Raw genomic sequence first — 19,747 nt, 5'->3', positions numbered from 1 at the left:
GTAGCCTTATAGTAGAATTTGAGTTCAGGTAGCGTGATGCCTCCAGGTTTGTTCTTTTTGCTTAGGATTGTCTTGGCTATGCGGGCTCTTTTTTGGTTCCACATGAAATTTAAAGTAGTTTTTTATAATTCTGTGAAGAAAGTCAATGACAGCTTGATGAGGAGAGCATTGAATCTATTAATTACTTTGGGCAGTATGGCAGTTTTCATGATATTGATTCTTCCTATCCAAGAGCATGGAATGTTTTTCCATTTGTTTGTGTCCTCTCTTATTTCCTGGAGCAGTAGTTTGTAGTTCTCTTTGAGGAGGTCCTTCACATCCCTTGTAAGTTCTATTCCTAGGTATTTTATTCTGTTTGTGGCAATTGTGAATGGGAGTTCACTCATGATTTGGCTCTCTGTTTGTCTATTATTGGTATATATGAATGCTTGTAATTTTTGCCCATTGATTTTTGTATCCTGAAACTTTGCTGAAGTTGCTTATCAGCTTAAGGAGGTTTTGGGCTGAGACAATGGGGTTTTCTAAATATACAGTCATGTCATGTGCAAACAGAGACAATTTTACTTCCTCTCTTCCTATTTGAATACCATTTATTTCTTTCTCTTGCCTGATTGCCCTGGCCAAAACTTCCGATACTATTTTTAATAGAAATGGTGATGGAGGGCATCCTTGTCTTGTGCCAGTTTTCAAAGGGGATGCTTCCAGTTTTTGCCCATTTAGTATGATATTAGCTGTGTGTTTATCCTAAATAACTCTTACTATTTTGAGATATGTTCCATCAGTACCTATTTCATTGAGAGTTTTTAGCATGAAGCGTTGTTGAATTTTATTAAACTCCTTTTCTGCATATATTGAGATAATCATGTGGTTTTTGTCATTGATTCTGTTTATGTGATGGATTATGTTTATTGATCTGCATATGTTGAACCAGCCTTGAATCCCAGGGATGAAGCTGACTTGATCATTTTGGATAAGCTTTTTGATGTGCTGCTGGATTTGAATTGCCAGTATTTTATTGAGGATTCTCCCAGTGATATTCACCAGGGATATTGGCCTGAAATTTTCTTTTTTTGTTGTGCCTCTGTCAGGTTTTGGTATCAGGATGATGTTGGCCTCTTAAAATGAGTTAGGGAGGAGTCCCTCTTTCTCTAATGTTTGGAATAGTTTCAGAAGGAATGGTACCATCTCCTCTTTGTACCTCTGGTAGAATTCGGCTGTGAATCTGTCTGGTCCTGGGCTTCTTTTGGTTGGTAGGCTATTAATTACTTCCTCAGTTTCAGAACTTGTTATTGGTTTATTCAGGGATTCAAATTCTTCTTGGTTTATTCTTGGGAGGGTATAGATGTCCTGGAGTTTATCCATTTCTTCTAGATTTTCTAGTTTATTTGCAAAGAGGTGTTTACAGTATTCTCTGGTGGTAGTTTGTATTTCTGTGGGATCAGTAGTGATATCCCCTTTATCATTTTTTATTGTGTCTATTTGATTCTTCTCTCTTTTCTTCTTTATTAGTCTGGCTAGTGGTTTATCTATTTTGTTAATCTTTTCAAAACACCAGCTCCTGGATTCATTGATTTTTTGAAGGGTTTTTGTTTCTCTATCTCCTTCATTTCTATTGTGGTCTTAGTTATTTCTTGTCTTCTGCTAGCTTTTGAATTTGTTTGCTCTGACTTCTCTAGTTCTTTTAATTGTGATTTTATGGTGTTGAATTTAGATCTTTCCCGCTTTCTCCGGTGGGCATTTAGTGCTATAAATTTCCTTCTAAACACTGCTTTAAATGTGTCCCAGAGGTTCTAGTATGTTGTCTCTTTGTTCTCATTGATTTCAAAGAACTTATTTATTTCTGCCTTAATTTCATTATTTACCCAGTAGTCATTCAGGAGCAGGTTTTTCAGTTTCCATGTAGTTGTGTGGTTTCGAGTGAGTTTCTCAATCCTGAGTTCTAGTTTGATTGCACTGTGGTGTGAGAGACTGTTTGTTATTACTTCCATTATTTTGCATTTGTTGAGGAGCGTTTTACTTCCAATTATGTGGTCAGTTTTAGAATAAGTGTGATGTGATGCTGAGAAAAATGTACATTTGTTGATTTGGGGTGGAGAGTTCTGTAGATGTTTATTAGGTCTGCTTGGTCCAGAGCTGAGTTTAAGTCCTGAATATCCTTGTTAATTCTCTGTCTTGTTCCTTTGTCCAATATTGATAGTGGGGTGTTAAAGTCTCCCACTATTATTGTGTGGGAGTCTAAGTCTCTTTGTAGATCTCTAAGGACTTGCTTTATGAATATGGGTGCTCCTGTATTGGGTGCATATATATTTAGGATAGTTAGCTCTTCTTTTTGCATTGATCCCTTTACCATTATGTAATACCCTTCTTTGTCTTTTTTGATCTTTGTTGGTTTAAAGTCTGTCTTATCAGAGACTAGGATTGCAACCCCTGCTTTTTTTTGCTCTTCATTTGCTTGGTAAATCTTTCTCCATCCCTTTATTTTGAGCCTATGTGTGACTTTGCAAGTGAGATGGGTCTCCTGAATACAGCACACTGATGGGTCTTGACTCTTTATCCAATTTGCCAGTCTGTGTCTTTTAACTGGGGCATTTAGCCCATTTATATTTAAGGTTAATATTGTTATGTGTAAATTTGATCCTGTTATTATGATGCTAGCTGGTTATTTTGCCTGTCAGTTGATGCAGCTTCTTCATAGTGTTGATGGTCTTTACAATTTGGTATGTTTTTGCAGAGGCTGTATGGGTTTTTTCCTTTCCATATTGAGTGCTTCCTTCAGGATCTCTTGTAAGGCAGGCCTGGTGGTGACAACATCTCTCAGCATTTGCTTATCTGTAAAGGATTTTACTTCTCCTTTGCTTATAAAGCTTAGTTTGGCTGGATATGAAATTCTGGGTTGAAAATTCTTGTCTTTAAGAATGTTGAATGTTGAATGTTGGCCCCCACTCTCTTCTGGCTTGTAGAGTTTCTGCTGAGAGATCCACTGTTAGTCTGATGGGCTTCCCTTTGTGGGTAACCTGACATTTCTCTCTGGCTGCCCATAACATTTTTTCCTTCATTTCAACCTTGGTGAATCTGATGATTATGTGTCTTGGGGTTTCTCTTCTTGAGGAGTATCTTTGTGGTGTTCTCTCTATTTCCTGAATTTGAATGTTGGCCTGTCTTCCTAGGTTGGGGAAGTTCTCCTGGATAATATCCCTAAGAGTGTTTTACAACTTGGTTCCCATCTCCCTGTCACTTTCAGGTACACCAGTCAAACGTATATTTGGTCTTTTCACATAGTGCCATATTTGCTGGAGGCTTTGTTTGTTCCTTTTCATTCTTTTTTCTCTAATCTTGTCTTCACACTTTATTTCATTAAGTTGATCTTCAATTTCTGATATCCTTTCTTCAGCTTGATTGATTTGGCTATTGATACTTCTGTATGCTTCACAAAGTCCTCGTGCTGTGTTTTTCAGTTCCATCAGGTCATTTATGTTCTTCTCTAAACTGGTTATTTTAGTTAGTAATTCATCTAACCTTTTTTCAAGGTTCTTAGCTTCCTTGCATTGGGTTAGAACATGCTCCTTTAGCTTGGAGGAGTTATTACCCACCTTCTGATGCCTGCTTCTGTCAATTCATCATATTCATTCTCCGTCCAGTTTTGTTCCCTTGCTGGCGAGGAGTTGTGATCCTTTGGAGGAGAAGAGGTGTTCTGGTTTTTGGAATTTTCAGCCTTTTTGTGCTGTTTTTTCCTCATCTTTGTGGATTTATCTATCTTTGGTCTTCGATGTTGGTGACCTTTGGATGGGGTTTCTGTGTGGACATTCTTTTTGTTAATGTTGATGCTATTCCTTTCTGTTTGTTAGTTTTCCTTCTAATAGTCAGGTCCCTCTGCTGCAGGTCTGCTGGAGTTTGCTGGAGGTCCACTTCAGACCCATTTTGCCTGGGTATCACCAGCAGAGGGTGCAGGACAGCAAAGATTGCTGCCTGTTTCCTCCTTGAAGCTTAGTCCCATAGGTGCACCCACCAGATGCCAGCCAGAGCTCTCCTTTATGAGGTGTCGGTGACAACTCCCTGCTGGGAGTTGTGTCCCAGTCAGGAGGCATGGGGGTCAGGGACCCACTTGAGGAGGCAGTCTGTCCCTTAGCAGGGCTTGAGCGCTGCGCTGGGAGATCTGCTGCTCTCTTCAGAGCTGGCAGGCGGGAACGTTTAAGTCTGATGAAGCTGTGCCCACAGCTGCCCCTTCCCCCTGGTGCTCTGTCCCAGGGAGATGGGAGTTTTATCTATAAGCTCCTGACTGGGGCTGTTGTCTTTCTTTCAGAGATGCCCTGCCCAGAGAGGAAGAATCTAGAGAGGCAGTCTGGCTACAGCAGCTTTGCTGAGCTGCGGTGGGCTCTGCCCATTGCAGACTTCCAGGTGGCTTTGTTTACACTATAAGGGTAAACCACCGACTCAATCCTCAGTAATGGTGGACACCCCTCCCCTGACCAAGCTCAAGCATCCCAGGTCAACTTCAGACTGTTGAGAATTTCGTGAATCTTATAGCTTGCTGGGCTCCATGGGGGTGGGATCTGCTGAGCTAGACCACTTGGCTCTCTGGCTTCAGCCCCCTTTCTAGGGGAGTGAATGGTTCTGTCTCACTGGCATTCCAGGCACAGCTAGGGTATGAAAAAACACTCCTGCAGCTAGCTGGATGTCTGCCCAAATGGCTTCCCAGTTTTCTGCTTGAAACCCAGGGCCCTGGTGCCATAGGCACCTGAGGGAATCTCCTGGTCTGTGGGTTGTGAAGACTCTGAGAAAAGTGTAGTATCTGGGCTGGTGTGCACTGTTCCTCATGACACAGTCTCTCACAGCTTCCCTTGGCTAGGGGAGGGAATTCTCCGACCCCCTATGCTTCCTGGGTGAGGCAATGCCCCATGCTGCTTCAGCTTGCCCTCCATGGGCTGCACCCACTGTCTAACCAGTCCCAATGAGATGAGCTTAGTACCTCAATTGGAAATGCAGAAATCACCCACCTTCTGCGTTGATCTCATTGGGAACTGCAGACCAGAGCTATTCCTATTCAGCCATCTTGCCAGCTGAATAGATTTTCTTTTTATAAATAAAAGAGATGTATGACTAGAAAGGAGTAGCAAAAGGAACTGAGCTAATGAAACTGATCTATATCCTGATTGTCTTGATGGTTACTTGAGTCTACATAATAAAATTTCATAGAATCTCATATAAGTACACACTAAAACAATTGCATATCAAAACTAGTGAGATCCTAATAAGGTCTGAATCTTAGTTAACATCAATTCACCAACATCATCTCCTGATTTGGTAATTGTACTATGGTTATGTAAGATTTTATCATGGCAGGAAGCTGGGGAGTGGGTCCACAGGAACTCTGTACTATTTTTGCAACTTATATGTGAGTTTAAGGTTATTTCAACAAACAAATAAGCCAACATGATATAGTTCCTCTTTGGGAACTGAAAAGAGGAAAGCAAGGTACCTTGCTCTTCTCAGGTTCATAAAAAGAAGCAAAGAATTGTCAATATTGTAAGAAATAACAAAGAGATTTCAGAATCCAAAAAAATCATAGTAAGACCTTAGCCAAATATAGCTTATGAGATAGAAGGCCACTCTGGTTATATCTGATGTTGCTTTAGTGCCTCTTACCTGTCTTTACTGTTTGCCAGCCCAGGGAAAATGGGCTGCGAGCTTGAAGGTTGTAGGAGGAGATTGGGCTGTGGTTGTCAGCTGCTGGGCTCCAGGACAGTGTGGCCGTACTTTCGGTTATTTCCTCAACAATTACTATCCCAGGTGGGCCTGGGGGTCCTATAGGTCAAAGGCAATGGATAAAGTTAAGCACAAATTATTATCAGGAGCCATGAGAAATTATATTTCCAATATGTAGCACATCCAACTATGTAATCACCTTAATGAAATATGAATTTAGTAATTAAAATTGACAACAAAAAGTCATGGATGCAAGTTGGAGTCTAGGATTTCTGGGGGAAACTTAATTGTAGATTTGATTTCTTTCTGCTACTTTGTGCCCAGAGGCAGTTACCAATTAGCATTATATTTTATAGAAAAAGAAAAAATAATGAGAAACAAACACAAAGATGTGAATGCCAGTATCAAATGCAGCTGCTGAAATCAATCAGTTTACAGAGGCAGCAACAGAAAATGATAGGCAGTGCTACAGAGACAAAAAAAAAATCTCATCCTTACTAAAATACTACAAGTGGCTAGAGCTAATGTTCATGTTCAGAGAACATACAATGTACAAGCCCTATGATGTGTACTATCAAGTACACATAGCTTAGACTCTAACAGGGGAGGTGCAAAAGGTTCTGAAATAATGATAGTATAGACAAGGTAAGGACATATGCCAGACCTGAGACATACATAAAGTTCTGTAGGGAGTTCAAAGGAGACTGTGATCTATGATTAGCTTCCTTTTTTCCTTGGTAGGAGTGGGGAGGTAGTGAATAAAGGAGGATTAATTCCCTTTTGATTATGAAAGAATGGTATAGAATATTATTGACTAATCTGTGTGCATATGGACTTCATCTTTAAGAACGAATTATAACCAGATTTGAGGAGAAATGTGCCATTGTGTTTTTATTTCTAGTGGTGATTTTGAATAGTATTTTAAAAATGCACAGGTATTTATATTTTAGTGGCTACAAAGCAATGCCAGTTCTTCCATTCCATAGTATGGACAATTAAAGTCACAATAATGTTTTATTTTGAATTTCAAAAACTTAAGTATTTTAAGTATTTTCTGAGTTGGTCTTTATGTACAAATGCTCTCTGGATTTGTTGATTAAGAGACATGAGCTAAACCCTAAGAAATGGTTGCATGCTGAACAGATGGAGGAGTTGGTGAAGACCTTTGAATAGAGAGTATCAACAATACAGCTTCAGTAAGATGGAGAAAAAGTTTAAAAGCCTCATTGGGGCAAATGACATTTTTAGAAAATAAGGAACGAACTTTTTTTGTTGTCGTTGTTACCTGAGAAGAACCACCAGCAGATGCAAGAGACTAAAGATATAGAAGATAGAGACTATTCTATCAGGAAGGTGACCGAAAGTTGGAATCGTGGGCAAAGGTCTAGAGGGCAACCTTGAGAAGAAATGACAATTTTTTCCTCTAAGATAAATGAAGGAAGCAAAATAATTAAAGTTTTCGAGATGGTAAGGGGAAACGTTGAGAGAACTCATTTTGGAAGGTACTCATTTTTTAAACTTAAGAATATAATACTGTCTACAAGAGTTAGGGTGATTGCGGGAAATTAGATTGGGGGCTGGAGGATATAACAGGAAAGTTTTGGAATAGCACATGATAAAAGTGAAAGGGTGCAATGAAGAGAAAATACAAATATTCTAGAATAGTACTAGAGTTCAAATTTGGTTAGACGGTATCATTTTGAAGTGAAACTGACCAATTCAGTAAAGATAGGAAAGTCAGGACCAAGACCAGGAAAGCAGTCAGTAGGGTCCATTCAGGCTTGGGAGTTTGTAATTCTGATATTGTTTATCATCAAATATGACAATGCTGTGGGTAACCATGGAGTCAAGTCAGAGGAAGCCAGAATGGGGCTGACAGACTAGAATAAAAAAAAGGAGTCAAGGAGACTGGATTGTTATGGGAGGAAAATATAAGAGTAGGAATTGTGTTGCAAGAGAAAATTGACAGATTTGTGATTTTAGAGGTAGGGTGGTTTTGAGTAAGAAGTTGGTTTTTGTTTATCTAAAGCAAAGTTGAGAATATTATTACAGGGTTTATAAGGTCTAGGATTTATGAAAAAATATGTCTATTGCATCACCCAATATCAATGTTGAAGCCACTAAAATAGCGACTAAGGATAAGGTAAAGAAAATAAATGAGATCCAGGTGTTGAAGAAGATGTCTAACAAGTTTTTAGACTGTGGTGACAGGAATGTAGAGGAGCATCTACAATACATTATAATGATTTAATAGTGAGAAGAATATTAACTATAATAATACTAATAGCTGTGATAATCTCACTGTATTGTACTGTATTAAGGTGCTTACTAAGTGTTTGCAAACATTAAATTGTTCATTTACTTCTTCGTCACTGGGAGGTGGGCATTGTTATCCCCATTTCATAGAGGAGGTAATAGAATCTCAAAGAGATTACTTAGTTAATAAATAATAATAAATTATTTAGTCAATAACCTTATTATATGTTAAGTTTTATGGTAGGCACTGGGTATCAGAGAGTTCATTCTAATGAGAAGTTATTTGCTCAAATCACTCTGCTAGGGAACAGCACAGCTGAGATTTAAATTTGGATGTGATTGTAAATCCTAATTTGTGGAAGGAAGCAAGGAGTACAGAGACCTTTACTGTTTTCACTGTTAATTTAGAAAGTATCTTCAACTGAAGAAAGAAAGAGAAAAAGTATGTGTTAGGGAACACATACAGCCACACTTTATGTTGTAGAGATAGAGATGGCATTTGAAGAAAGCATTAATCACTTTGTGTCTGCCTGTGTGTAAGGTGGCCACTATCACTTCCTTTACTCCCTGAACATGCAAGCCATTCTGCCATTGAACGGTGGAGTCAATTTTTTCACCTCCTTAAATCTGAGCTGGCCTGTGACTGTTTGACTCAGTAGACAATGGTAGAAATGACTGTGTGTGAATTTTGAGTTGAGGTTAAGCTTTGCATCTTTACCACAGGTTTCCTGGAATGCTTTTTATAGGAAAAGACAGTTGTCAGTCCAATTACATGGAAATTGCCATTCTGTGAAGAAGTCCAAATTAGCTATTTAGAGAGGTCTGTGGAGAGAGAGATCCAACTTGCATCCAGCTATTCTAGCCATCCAAGTCCAGGCACCAGACATGTCAGTGAAGAGGCCTTCAGATCAGACCTCATTAGGGAAAGAACAGTCTTTTCAATAAATGGTTCTGGAAAAATTGGATGTTCACATGCAGATGAATGAAACTAGACTTCTCACCCCTCACCTCATACAAAAATCAATTCAAAATGTATCAAAGAGCTAACTATAAGACCAGAAACAATAAAACTACTAGAAAAAAATATAGAGGAAGTGCTTCAGGACCTTGGTTTTGGAAAAGATTTTATGAATAAGATCTCAAAAGCACAGGCAACAAAAGCAAAAATAAACAAATAGGATTATACCAAACTAAAAAGCTCCTCACAGCAAAAGAAATAATCAACAGAATGAAAGGACAACTCGCAGAATGGAAGAAAATATTTGCAGACTATTCACGTGAAAGGGGATTAATGTGCAGCATATATGAGGAACTCAAACATTTCAACAGCAAATAGACAAACAACGCTATTAAAAAACAGTCACATCTGAAAAGACATTTATCAAAAGAAGACACACAAATGACCACAAATATATGAAAGAAATGGTCAGCATCACTGATAATCAGGGAAATGCAAATCAAAACCACCATGAGGTATCATCTCACCCCAGTTAGGACGGCTATCATCAGCAGGACAAAAATAACGATTGTTGGTGAGAATGTGGAGAAAAAGGAAGTCTTACACACTATTGGTGGGAACGTAAACTAGTATAGCCACTATGGAGAACAGTACAGAGGATCCTCAAAAAACTACAAAGAGAACTGCCATGTGATCCCGCAATTCCACTATTATGCATGTATCCAAAGAAAAGGAAGTCAGTATATCAGAGACTTCTTTACCCTTATGTTTATTGCAGCATTATTCACAATAGCCAAGATATGGAATCAACCTAGGAGTCCAACAACAGATGAATGGATAAAGAAAATGTGATATATATACACCATGGAATACTATTCAGCCATAAAAAGAATGTAATTCTGTCATTTGTGGCAACATGGATGGAAATGGAGGACATTATGTTAAGTGAAATAAGCCAGGAAGAGAAAGTTAAACACCACATGTTCTCACTTATATGTGAAAGCTAAAAAAAAGGATCTCATAGAAGTAGAAAGGACAGAGGACATTAGAAGCTGGGAAGGGAAAGGGGGAGAATAGCATAGGGAGAGATTTGTTAAAGGATACAAAAGTACAGCTAGACAGAAGGAATAAGTTCTAGGGCTATAGACCACTGTAGGATGACTATAGTTAACAATATCCATAGTTTTAAATAGCAAGAATGAGGATATTGAATGTTCCCAACACAAAGAAAAGATAAATGTTTAAGATGATGAATATGCTAATTACCTTGATCTGATCACTGTACAGTATATGTACCAAAGCATCACTATGTACATCCTGGGATACATACAATTATTATTTGTGAATTAAAAAAATAAACAAAAGAAGCTTTCAGATGACTCCAGCTTCAGCCAGCATCTACATGAGAAAATCGAGCAAGAATTGCCTGGCCTGTCAGCTGCTAAAATCATGACAGAAAATAACAGATTGATGTTTTAAGCTAATAAGTTTTGGGGCAGCAATGGCTAACTGGAACTTGCCTAAAGAGTGTTTTCATCAGTATGAAACTCTGTCAGGAGGACCCTCAAATATTATGAAAAAGACTTGAAATTTAGCTAACGTGTCCATATAGGAATAATTGCCAACAAACTCATTTATTAAGCTCTTCTATGTTGTTACATTTATTCTGTTTCATTCCCTCCATTCTATTTATTCATCTCTTCAAAGAGCATTTAACAACCGCCTATGTGCAAGGCTCAGTGGGAGACACTGTGGAAGACAACTCTTTGTTAATTTAAATAAAATAATTTGCCTCTCTGAGTATTAAAGTTCTATGAAAATGTTTAAATTAGCCATCTTAAAGAAGGGTATATTGCTTTCATAATAGGTAATAATTAAATAATTTTTAAACTTTCAGCTGGAACAAAAGATATAATTTACAACATAATAAATCCTCTTTATTCTTTTTGATATTTGTCTATTTGCCCAAATATGGTTCTTAGAAAATAATTAGTGAGAGGGACAAAGATTTATATAACCAAGGTACTGATTGTGGCTGTGTAATTATTTATAATTATAAACCATTGTAAACAACAAATTGCCCAATAATCACGTAATGTTTAAATTCTAAATTCTTATAATGAAATATTAGGCAGCCATTAAACTGCCTATTTATTTTTCTGTAACTTCCACTTATCTGAACGTCCAACATGGTACTTGACATACAATTAGACCCTCAATAAATATTTGTAGAAGGAAAGATGAAGAAAGGGAAAAAAAGAAGGAAAAATAAATAAAGGAAGAAAGGATAGAGGAGTTATATTTTGAGTGTGGAATGTTGTATAACAATTAACAAGTAAAAGAATGTTTTAAAATATAATTATATTAGACGGAGATGCGATTTAAGTTTCATTTTTGTTAAATCAAACTATATTTGGGTTAACAGGGTTTTTTTTCATCCAAGTTTAGAGTGGTAATAAAAATGACAGACAAGCTCCATGAATGAAGAAAATAATCCTTTCATATGATTTAATAATAAGGATGATCCTTATTAGAAACTGAGAGCGTTATAGCCTCTGGACAGCTAACTTTTCTAAATGATGGTAAATCTGAAATACTTTTATGAACATATTAACGTACAGATATTCTGAATAATTGGCAGCGTGATTTACCTTCTAAGAGACATTAAATTTTAACCATAAAAAGGTGAAAACAAGATTTACTGTTATAATATTAGAATTGGCTTATCGATACTTTATTTCTGAAAAAATATTTTTATACATCATATACTGAATGCTGCCTGGCATAAGCTTCTTGTATATATTTAGGAGTGAATTACATCAACCTATTGATATAGTCAGTATCTTTGTTTTTTAAGGCCTGTTAATGATTCTACTTTTGCTATTTTTTGACTTTTTAAAATAAATCAGGGAGGAAAGGTTCTCCTAAAAGGCTTTTTCAGCTAATTTACATAAGGCATCATTGAAGATAGATTAATAAGCAAACGTCTCAGTGATGACAAATGTGTGACAGTCCAGATGATACACAAATGCCACTCATTCAGTAGAAATCTCATTAAATTTTATACTTGGTTATAATGATTCAGTGTCAAATGGCCAGTAATCTGACAACTGTTTTTTCCTCCTCAGGGACAATGCTATTATAAAGGATCACTAAATTAAATACTGTATTTGGAAATAGTCAATTTTGAAAAATGGGCACAGTGTGTTCATTTCTTCATGGGGAGGACTGCTGAGCAAATGACAAATCAAAAGCCCTGAGCAGAAGCCATGTTCTCATGGATTCAATCTAGCCTCAATAAAGGGTTCCCCAGCATTGCAGACTGATACCAGATCAACTCTTTCTGTTGATTTAATGTTCAGTTAGAAAATCTTCCTTCGAGAAGCAATTGTCTTTTAAAGCTGAAAAGTGAATAAAATGTATATGTGTACATATATATATATCTCCTTGGAATCTTTAAAGCTCTTACTATAATACTGGTAATATGAAATAAAGACCTACAATTTCATATACTAATTTAGCAGTGTTACAGAGTCATAGAATTTTTAAATTAATTGGAGTCATCTAGTTTGACCATATTATTTTTCAGATGAGGAAGTAGTACTTGAAAGTGGAAAATTCCTCCCTCAGAAACAGAGGCAAAAAGAGTCTTCTTGCTTTGAAGGTAAAATCATTGAAGCAAGAACAGGCTTTAGTCTTGATAACGGGTCAAATTTGTCCAATTATGATAAATTCATGTGCTAACAAACAGAAAGTTGTGTATTGACTTCTTGTGAAATTATTGCTCATTCTCCTTGTAGACAGCAACTAGTGGTGCCAGGCTGTAGAGTCCTTATGGTGTGATTGTTCAGTCCTTCATGAGGAGTGCTTCTTAGAGCCTCTGCACAATGCTAAGATGAATTCTCCGTGCCAAGCAACTTTTCTGGCTTTTTCTCACATAGATAACATCATATTTTCTGTGAAATTCTGAGACTTGCTGATTCAACAAATACACCTATTGTTATACATTACTGTTTGCTTTATACGTCTATTGTTTGTTTTCATTTTTATTTGATTTTAAGGACTTTCCTGCTTTTTTGTTTTTCTTTTTCTTTTTTTAGAGACATGGTCTCATTCTGTTGCCCAGGTTGGAGTGCAGTGGCATGATCCTAGCTCACTCTTGCTTTGACCTCCTGGACTCAAGCGATCCTCCTGCCTCAGCCACCTGAGTAGCTAGAGACACAGGCGCATGCCACCATGCCCAGCTAATTTTTTAATTTTTTTATAGAGATGGGGTCTCTCTATGTTAACCAGTGTGGTCTCAAACTCCTGGCCTCAAGCAGTCCCAAACTTGGCCTCTCAAAGTGCTGGGATTACAGGCACGAGCCACCCTACCTGACCCCTGTTGTTTCTGCTATATAGTAGTTTTAAATGAAAAGTGAAATTTGCTGGTATTCAAAACATTAAACAGGTCTTTGTTTTAAATCATTTAAAATTAAAGTGAGAATTTTGATCCCAAATATGCTCGTTATCCAGTTGTTTTATTTTTAACCCTATAAATACTGTTTGAGGACAGACACTTCCAAACACATGCAGGAATATGCTCTGGAGAAAAGGGAAGCAGGCATGGCAATCAATCATGGAAGCAATGTCCTAAACACATCCTAATACCAAGTGAAAAGGAGGTTTAGCTACTGTCTGGAAGATTAGATTAATGCAGAGAGATAAATTGAAAAACTCAGGCCATGGTGACTAATTCTTATTTTTATCATGCGGTTTACTCATCTACAATGAACCATCCAGTACAAAGGACCAGTTTGTGTTGACTCAATGGAAAAGGATATGTAGAAATAGTCATGAAAAAATATTTCAATAAAAAATAATATTTAATAATGTGACTAGACTTTTCATAGTACATTAGCTATTAATACCTGCAAAGCTGATGTATTCACCTTTATAATAAAGTTATGAAGAATTATGGTATACCCTTATTTAGGAAGTATGGTATTATTGATAGAATATTTATTTTTATACAAGATGATGTCTCCTGATATACTCTTGACATCCCGGGCTGGCAGAGTTCAACTTCACGTGGGATTGGGTCATTCCTTCTTTACCTTCTCCTCAGATACTTTCTGACCACCATTACGTTACTCATGAAGCCTAGAGGGCTTTCTTACATTTGTTTGCTATTTACTAATCTAATCTAAGTGACCTCTTCCTACTGTTTTCAGTCTCATGAGAGTAACCAACCCTTTATACCAGGGGTAGTCAAGAATGGAAATGAGAAACAAACAGTTATACTTTCCTTTTTTTCCAAAAGCAATTTTGCTTTCAATTAATTTGATCGAGCTCAACTTTTATTATCTGTCTATTCATCTGTTACCATCATCATTATCTATCCTTCTGCCCATTCCTGTATCTAATCTATCACCTACATAACCTGATTCCTCGGCATGAAACTCCTGTCCCTCCTTACTTTGCCTATTTAACACCTATTTAGGCTTCACATTTTGAATCTATGCTCAGGGTTCACTTGGAGCAGACTTCTCTGACTGCCTTGCCTAAGTAAAATTCCTGTATTGCATACATTCATAGTACCATGTCCCTCTCATTCATACAGTAGTTGAAATCACAGTGAAAACTTTCTATTTATTTGTGTGACTGTTTTACTAGTGGTGGCTTTCCTCTTTAGATTTTAGGTACAAGAAGGCTAGAATTGTGCTTGTATTTTTTTCTCACTATTGTATTCTCAGGTCCTAGGGGACAGTGCATGGCACGTAGTATGTTATGAAATAGATTTATAATAAGTCATTGAATTAATAATTTTTATTAGCTTAACAGATTAGTGTAGTCGTTGACTTAATTTTTATACATGTTTTTACTTTTGGCCAATCAAAATCTGAGAAAAAGTAATACATCTTTACAAAATTACAGCATTATTCTGAAAGAAGACTCTAAATTTATGTTAAAAATAGGATTATATTATGCTGCTTTCTCAAATTTGTTAAATGTTACTAATTAGATATCCACCTTTCTATGCTGTTTTCCTAAACAAAAATGAATAGACTCTTAGTAACTTTCAAACTGTGATGAGCAACAGAATTTCTGGTATGTTTTAAAAAAAGAATGTAAATTTTATGAGCTGTACCCAAGAGCTACTGAATTTCAACTTCTATGACTAGAGCCCCAGGATTTGTATTTTGTACAAGATGCCTAGAAAATGTTTATGTACTCTATATTTCAAGAAAAAATGATCTAAAGAAAAGAGATTTGGACAAAGAGTCAGAATAATTTTATTTCAGTACTATTTCATGCAAAAGGTTTAAGAAAATTTCTGAACCTCATTAAGTCTCAGTTTCCTTGCATTTTATAAAGAGAATGATAATGTCAACCTTATATCATTATTGTGAAAAATACATAGGGTGATGTATGTACAAAGTACTTTCTAAATGACAAATACTATTTTAGCACTGACTGGGCCTCTCACTAGTCTGTAACTTTGACAATATCAATCTCAAACTGCTCCCTTTTTTTAAATCAATGAAAACAAGAACGCATGTATCACATTTGATTTTAGCAAAATAGAAAATATGTGAAACATTCAAAAATGAAAAAATGTACTATCATTGGAATATTCAATAATCTCTACCATCTGGGGAGCTTATAATGGAATGGGGGAAAATACTGAAATAATAATGACTTAATGCTCATCTATCAAGTAGAAGGCATTGTGCTAAGTGTTATATATTTTCTAATTTTTATAGTTAATTTGGTACTGATACCCCTTTTCCAAAAATGAAAAGCAAAGCCTCAGAAAGTTCAGATAACTCACCTAAGGTAATGTCAAACAACATTCCTTAAGTGGCTCCGGGGTTTTATTCTGATTCTTATTTGCATATGAATATGAGCTTTAACTCCATGATTTTCATTACTACATAAAACTGCTTTACATAGTTCAGCACAGACAGGACATGTAGATTTCAGAAGATTAAAAATTATGAGCAGGGGCAAATAATATTTTTATTGATTGAAAATGAATTTCGAGGTAGCTTTTCTACCTCTGCTTGCTAAAGATAAAGTAGACTTTGTGGTTGACTCCCTAATATTCACTCTACTTGTCTCAGTGTGGTATAAGGACTTAACCCCTCTGCCTCCTCCTCATTATATGAATGGCCTTGATTAGCCTATATCAGTCCTGCCAATCTCATGTGCCCCTGCTAAGGATTGGTTCAGGAAGCTAGGCCTAAGCCAATCAGATCACGGCAATCTTCTTGTGACAGAGACTTGTTCAGGAGTAAGCACATTCTCTAAAATGGTATAACCAGATGGTTCGATGCAAGTTTGTATGAAGTTTGGGAGAAATACACTAGCTCCTTCTCCTGTTGTATGTGAACAAGAAAGATTTAGCCTCTGTTATTCCTGGAAGTCAATCTGTGATTACAGTGGAAACCAGCCTTAGTGTAGGGCCAAAATTGTAGATGATGGAGTGGAGAGACAAAACAAACCTGTGGGCCCTTGCATAAAAAGTTGAGCCACTAGATTAATCAAACACCTGCTTAACTTCCTGTCATGAAAATCAGTGGATTTCTTTATTGTTTAAGTCAATTTGAGTTAGGCTTTATATTATCTACAAGTGGACACATTCTAAGATATAAAGGATAACTGAGAAATCCTTTAGTTGATAAAGGATTAAAAGTGGTAATTTCTTATATTTGCTAAGACTGGTTATATTAGCATAAGTAACCTGAAAGAAAGATCTCCAATTATCTAATTATTCCAGATAAATCCATTAGAATTTAAAAGTGACAAATCAACTGGGAAAACTGACAGAAAAGCTAGCCGAAACAAACAGCCAGATAGGTAAACAAAATATGCAGTAAAATTTCTTAAATGATTGAAAATTTTCCAATAGGATAATGAAATTATCACTTTTAGATAGACACTTGGGACATATTACAGATATCCTATTATAGCAATATATTCCTATGACCACAAAGTTCAACAAAGTATTGGAAACCAGAAAAAGAATTTTAGAGCAAAAACATCCCCATTTCACAAATCATGACTGAATATTTTGTGTGCTCCCCACTGCTACCTTCATTTTAAAAAAGGCCTAAAAGGATTGTAGGAACTATCATGTGAAGATAGAAATAAAAAGTTAAACTTGAAGGTTTTGAAAGATGAAGGCTGAGTAGCTACCATGAAACATAGGTTTTCATTCAGGCCTTGCCATTTTCCAGCTAAGTGACTTAGGAATTCACTCCATATCTCTTGGACTCAAAAAGTTTGTTAGATATTGAGGCTGGAGGGATGAGTTTTTCAGTGAGGATTCCAAGAAAACAGTTGCTCTGGGCTAGCAGTTAAAGAGGAAAAAGATGACTATTTTGTTGGTAGAAAAAGGGAATAAGTAAACAAATATTCCAAAAGACTGAAAAATCTAAGGCATTTTGAAGAGAGGAGAAGCTGATGGCTTAAGTTTGATCAGAGAACCAAGAGTCCATAAAGGTGTAGGAAAGTTGGTTAAGGGAAGACCTTAAACACCACAGCAATGAGTTGGTACTTAATTATGTAGATAGTGGAAACCAGTACATTTTTTTTTGAACTGGAGGTGGACTGAGACATTAGGCTTAATAAAGGAAAAGTAAATAATGAGAATGAAACATTATTCCAAAATTTCATACTTGGATAAATTGGAAGAATATTGGCAGAATAAAGGGAGAGTCTGGAGGAGGATCTCAGAAGTTTTATTTTCAATTTAATAAAATTAATTTTTATTGAAATACATTCTGATCATACTGAAGTACAGGGGTGAGAAGATGCTAATTTGGAGACTGAAGAGGGTTCAAAAGGTCAGGAATCATTGTGATGACTACATGATGGGGAATCAGTCATGAACTGAGATATTGATGAACAGAAATCAAAATCTATATGAAGTGAAAAACACAATTTTATTGGTGCTGAGTCAGTGCTGTTTCATTTGATTCTTTATGCCTTATGGTTTGCTCATGTGCAGAAACAGAAGTAATTGAGTTTAAAAGTTGGCATGAGAGGTATCATGGAAGTCAGCAGTTTCAGGTAGGAATTTAATTAGGTGTAGCTGGTGACCACACAAATTAAATGGAATCTATGTGACACTCAGGGCAAGGCTCCATAAATGAGAAGCAGCACCTGATGAAGTAGATTAAAGAAGCTGTTGTCAGAGGTTTCCTGTCCCAAGGTGGAGATCAAGGTATACATGGCAGGGCTTCTAGGCCACAAGTTAGGGCCACTGTAGCTGCAAATTGGGCAAGATTTTAAGGTCTTCAGCTGGTTGATGTATCAACTGATAGTATAGCAACTCCCCTCTTGCACATAAAATGTCAGTGAACACTGAAGCCTTTGGTTTAGATTTTCTAATTTCTTTGCTATACACTCCCTGTAGCCAGAATTCAGCATCTGAATCGTTCTTTGCTATCTGCATTTAATTTTTAATATTTGGATCATGTTTCTTGTGGGAGTGAGTGTATATGTGTGTGTCTGTGTGTGCACACGCACGTGCACACTACAAAGAACAGGGTGAGGTGGAAAGTAGGATGCAGCGTGAGAAAATTCTGAAGGATTACAGAGGTGGAAGTGCCAAGCTTCAAAGGGAATTCCTAAAAACCCTCTCCTACCACACCATTCTCAGGTATCTTACCCTTTTATTTCGCGGTATCTGCTGGTCTGTCTTATTGACAAGTTATCAGACATGACAATACATTTAATATTAAATGCCTATGATTATTGTTTATTCAATGACTGCTCCATGTTCTTTCCATGTTTCCTCCTTTGTCTGATTTTTAAAAATGTAATTAGTCTCTTTGGGGAAAAGGGGTTACATATTCATTCATTTGTATAGTTAATCTGGTTTAGATCTGTGTCCTCACCCAAATCTCATGTCAAATTGTAATCCCTATTGTTGGACGTAGGGTCTGGTAGGAGGTGACTGGATCATGCAGGCAATTTCTCATGGTTTAACACCATCCCCCTTGGTGCTGTCGTGGTGGTGAGTTCTCCTGAGATCTGGTTGTTTACAAGTGTGTAGCAGCACCGCCATCACTCTCTTACTCCTGCTCTGGCCATGTAAGATGTGCCTGCTTCCCTTTTGCATTCCACCATGATTGTAAGTTTCCTGAGGCCTCCTCAGCCATACTTCCTGTACAGCCTGTGGAACTGTGAGCCAATTAAACCACTTTTCTCAGGTTAAGGTAGTAAACAAGATAGGGAAGGTGACTGCTTATGACTTTTAAAGAGAAGAAAGTCAATAAACAAGTGAAAGATAATTTCAGATAGTAACAAACGCAATGAAGAAAAAAAAGTGGTGAAAATTGGATGGGGAAGAGGTAGGCAACATTTGATAGGGAGTTGAGAAATAAATAAGAAGGAGCCAGCCAGCCACATAAACAATATGGGCAAGAGTTTTCCAGGCAGAGAACAGCAATGGCAAAATTTGTAAGTGTTAATGAGTATGGCAATTGGAGCATAGCAAAGCAAGAGGAGAGTGGAGGTGATAATGTCAGAAAGATTAGCAAGTGCCAGTTTATACAGGGATTAGAAGGCAATAGCAAGGAACTTGGATTTTATTTTGAGTGTGAATCAGAAGCCACTGGATAGCATATGAGAGAAGTCCAAAGAAAGAAGCCATTGAAACGATAAGGCAAACATTTGATGAAAGCTCTCAAAGGCTGTAGGACTGTTTTGGGGAAAATCTAAATCATTAAAAACATATGAGTATTTTTTCTTAGCAGTAAGGTTTTGTAACAAATGTAAATTGTGATGCTTCAGGCAGTTACTTTTTCAGTAGATTCTGTCAGCATGGTTTCAATGACA

General features: G+C 36.9%; 1 protein-coding gene across 8 annotated transcripts in view; it reads right to left on the bottom strand.

The window, feature by feature from the left end:
• CNTN5 (contactin 5) overlaps positions 1–19,747 on the bottom strand; it is a 1,337,937-nt gene that overhangs the window by 97,324 nt on the left and 1,220,866 nt on the right. For 7 of the 8 annotated variants that reach the window (XM_017017926.2, NM_014361.4, XM_011542871.2 and 4 more), the window contains one exon: positions 5,644–5,802. In XM_017017926.2, the coding sequence (XP_016873415.1) occupies positions 5,644–5,802 (159 nt within the window). Of the gene's footprint in view, positions 1–5,643; positions 5,803–19,747 lie in introns of those variants that run through there. The other variant, XM_047427131.1, reaches the window with a different exon arrangement.

This window comes from Homo sapiens, chromosome 11, assembly GCF_000001405.40.
Source record: "Homo sapiens chromosome 11, GRCh38.p14 Primary Assembly".
NCBI lineage: Eukaryota > Metazoa > Chordata > Mammalia > Primates > Hominidae > Homo > Homo sapiens.
This window is presented reverse-complemented; position numbering and strand designations above follow the sequence as displayed.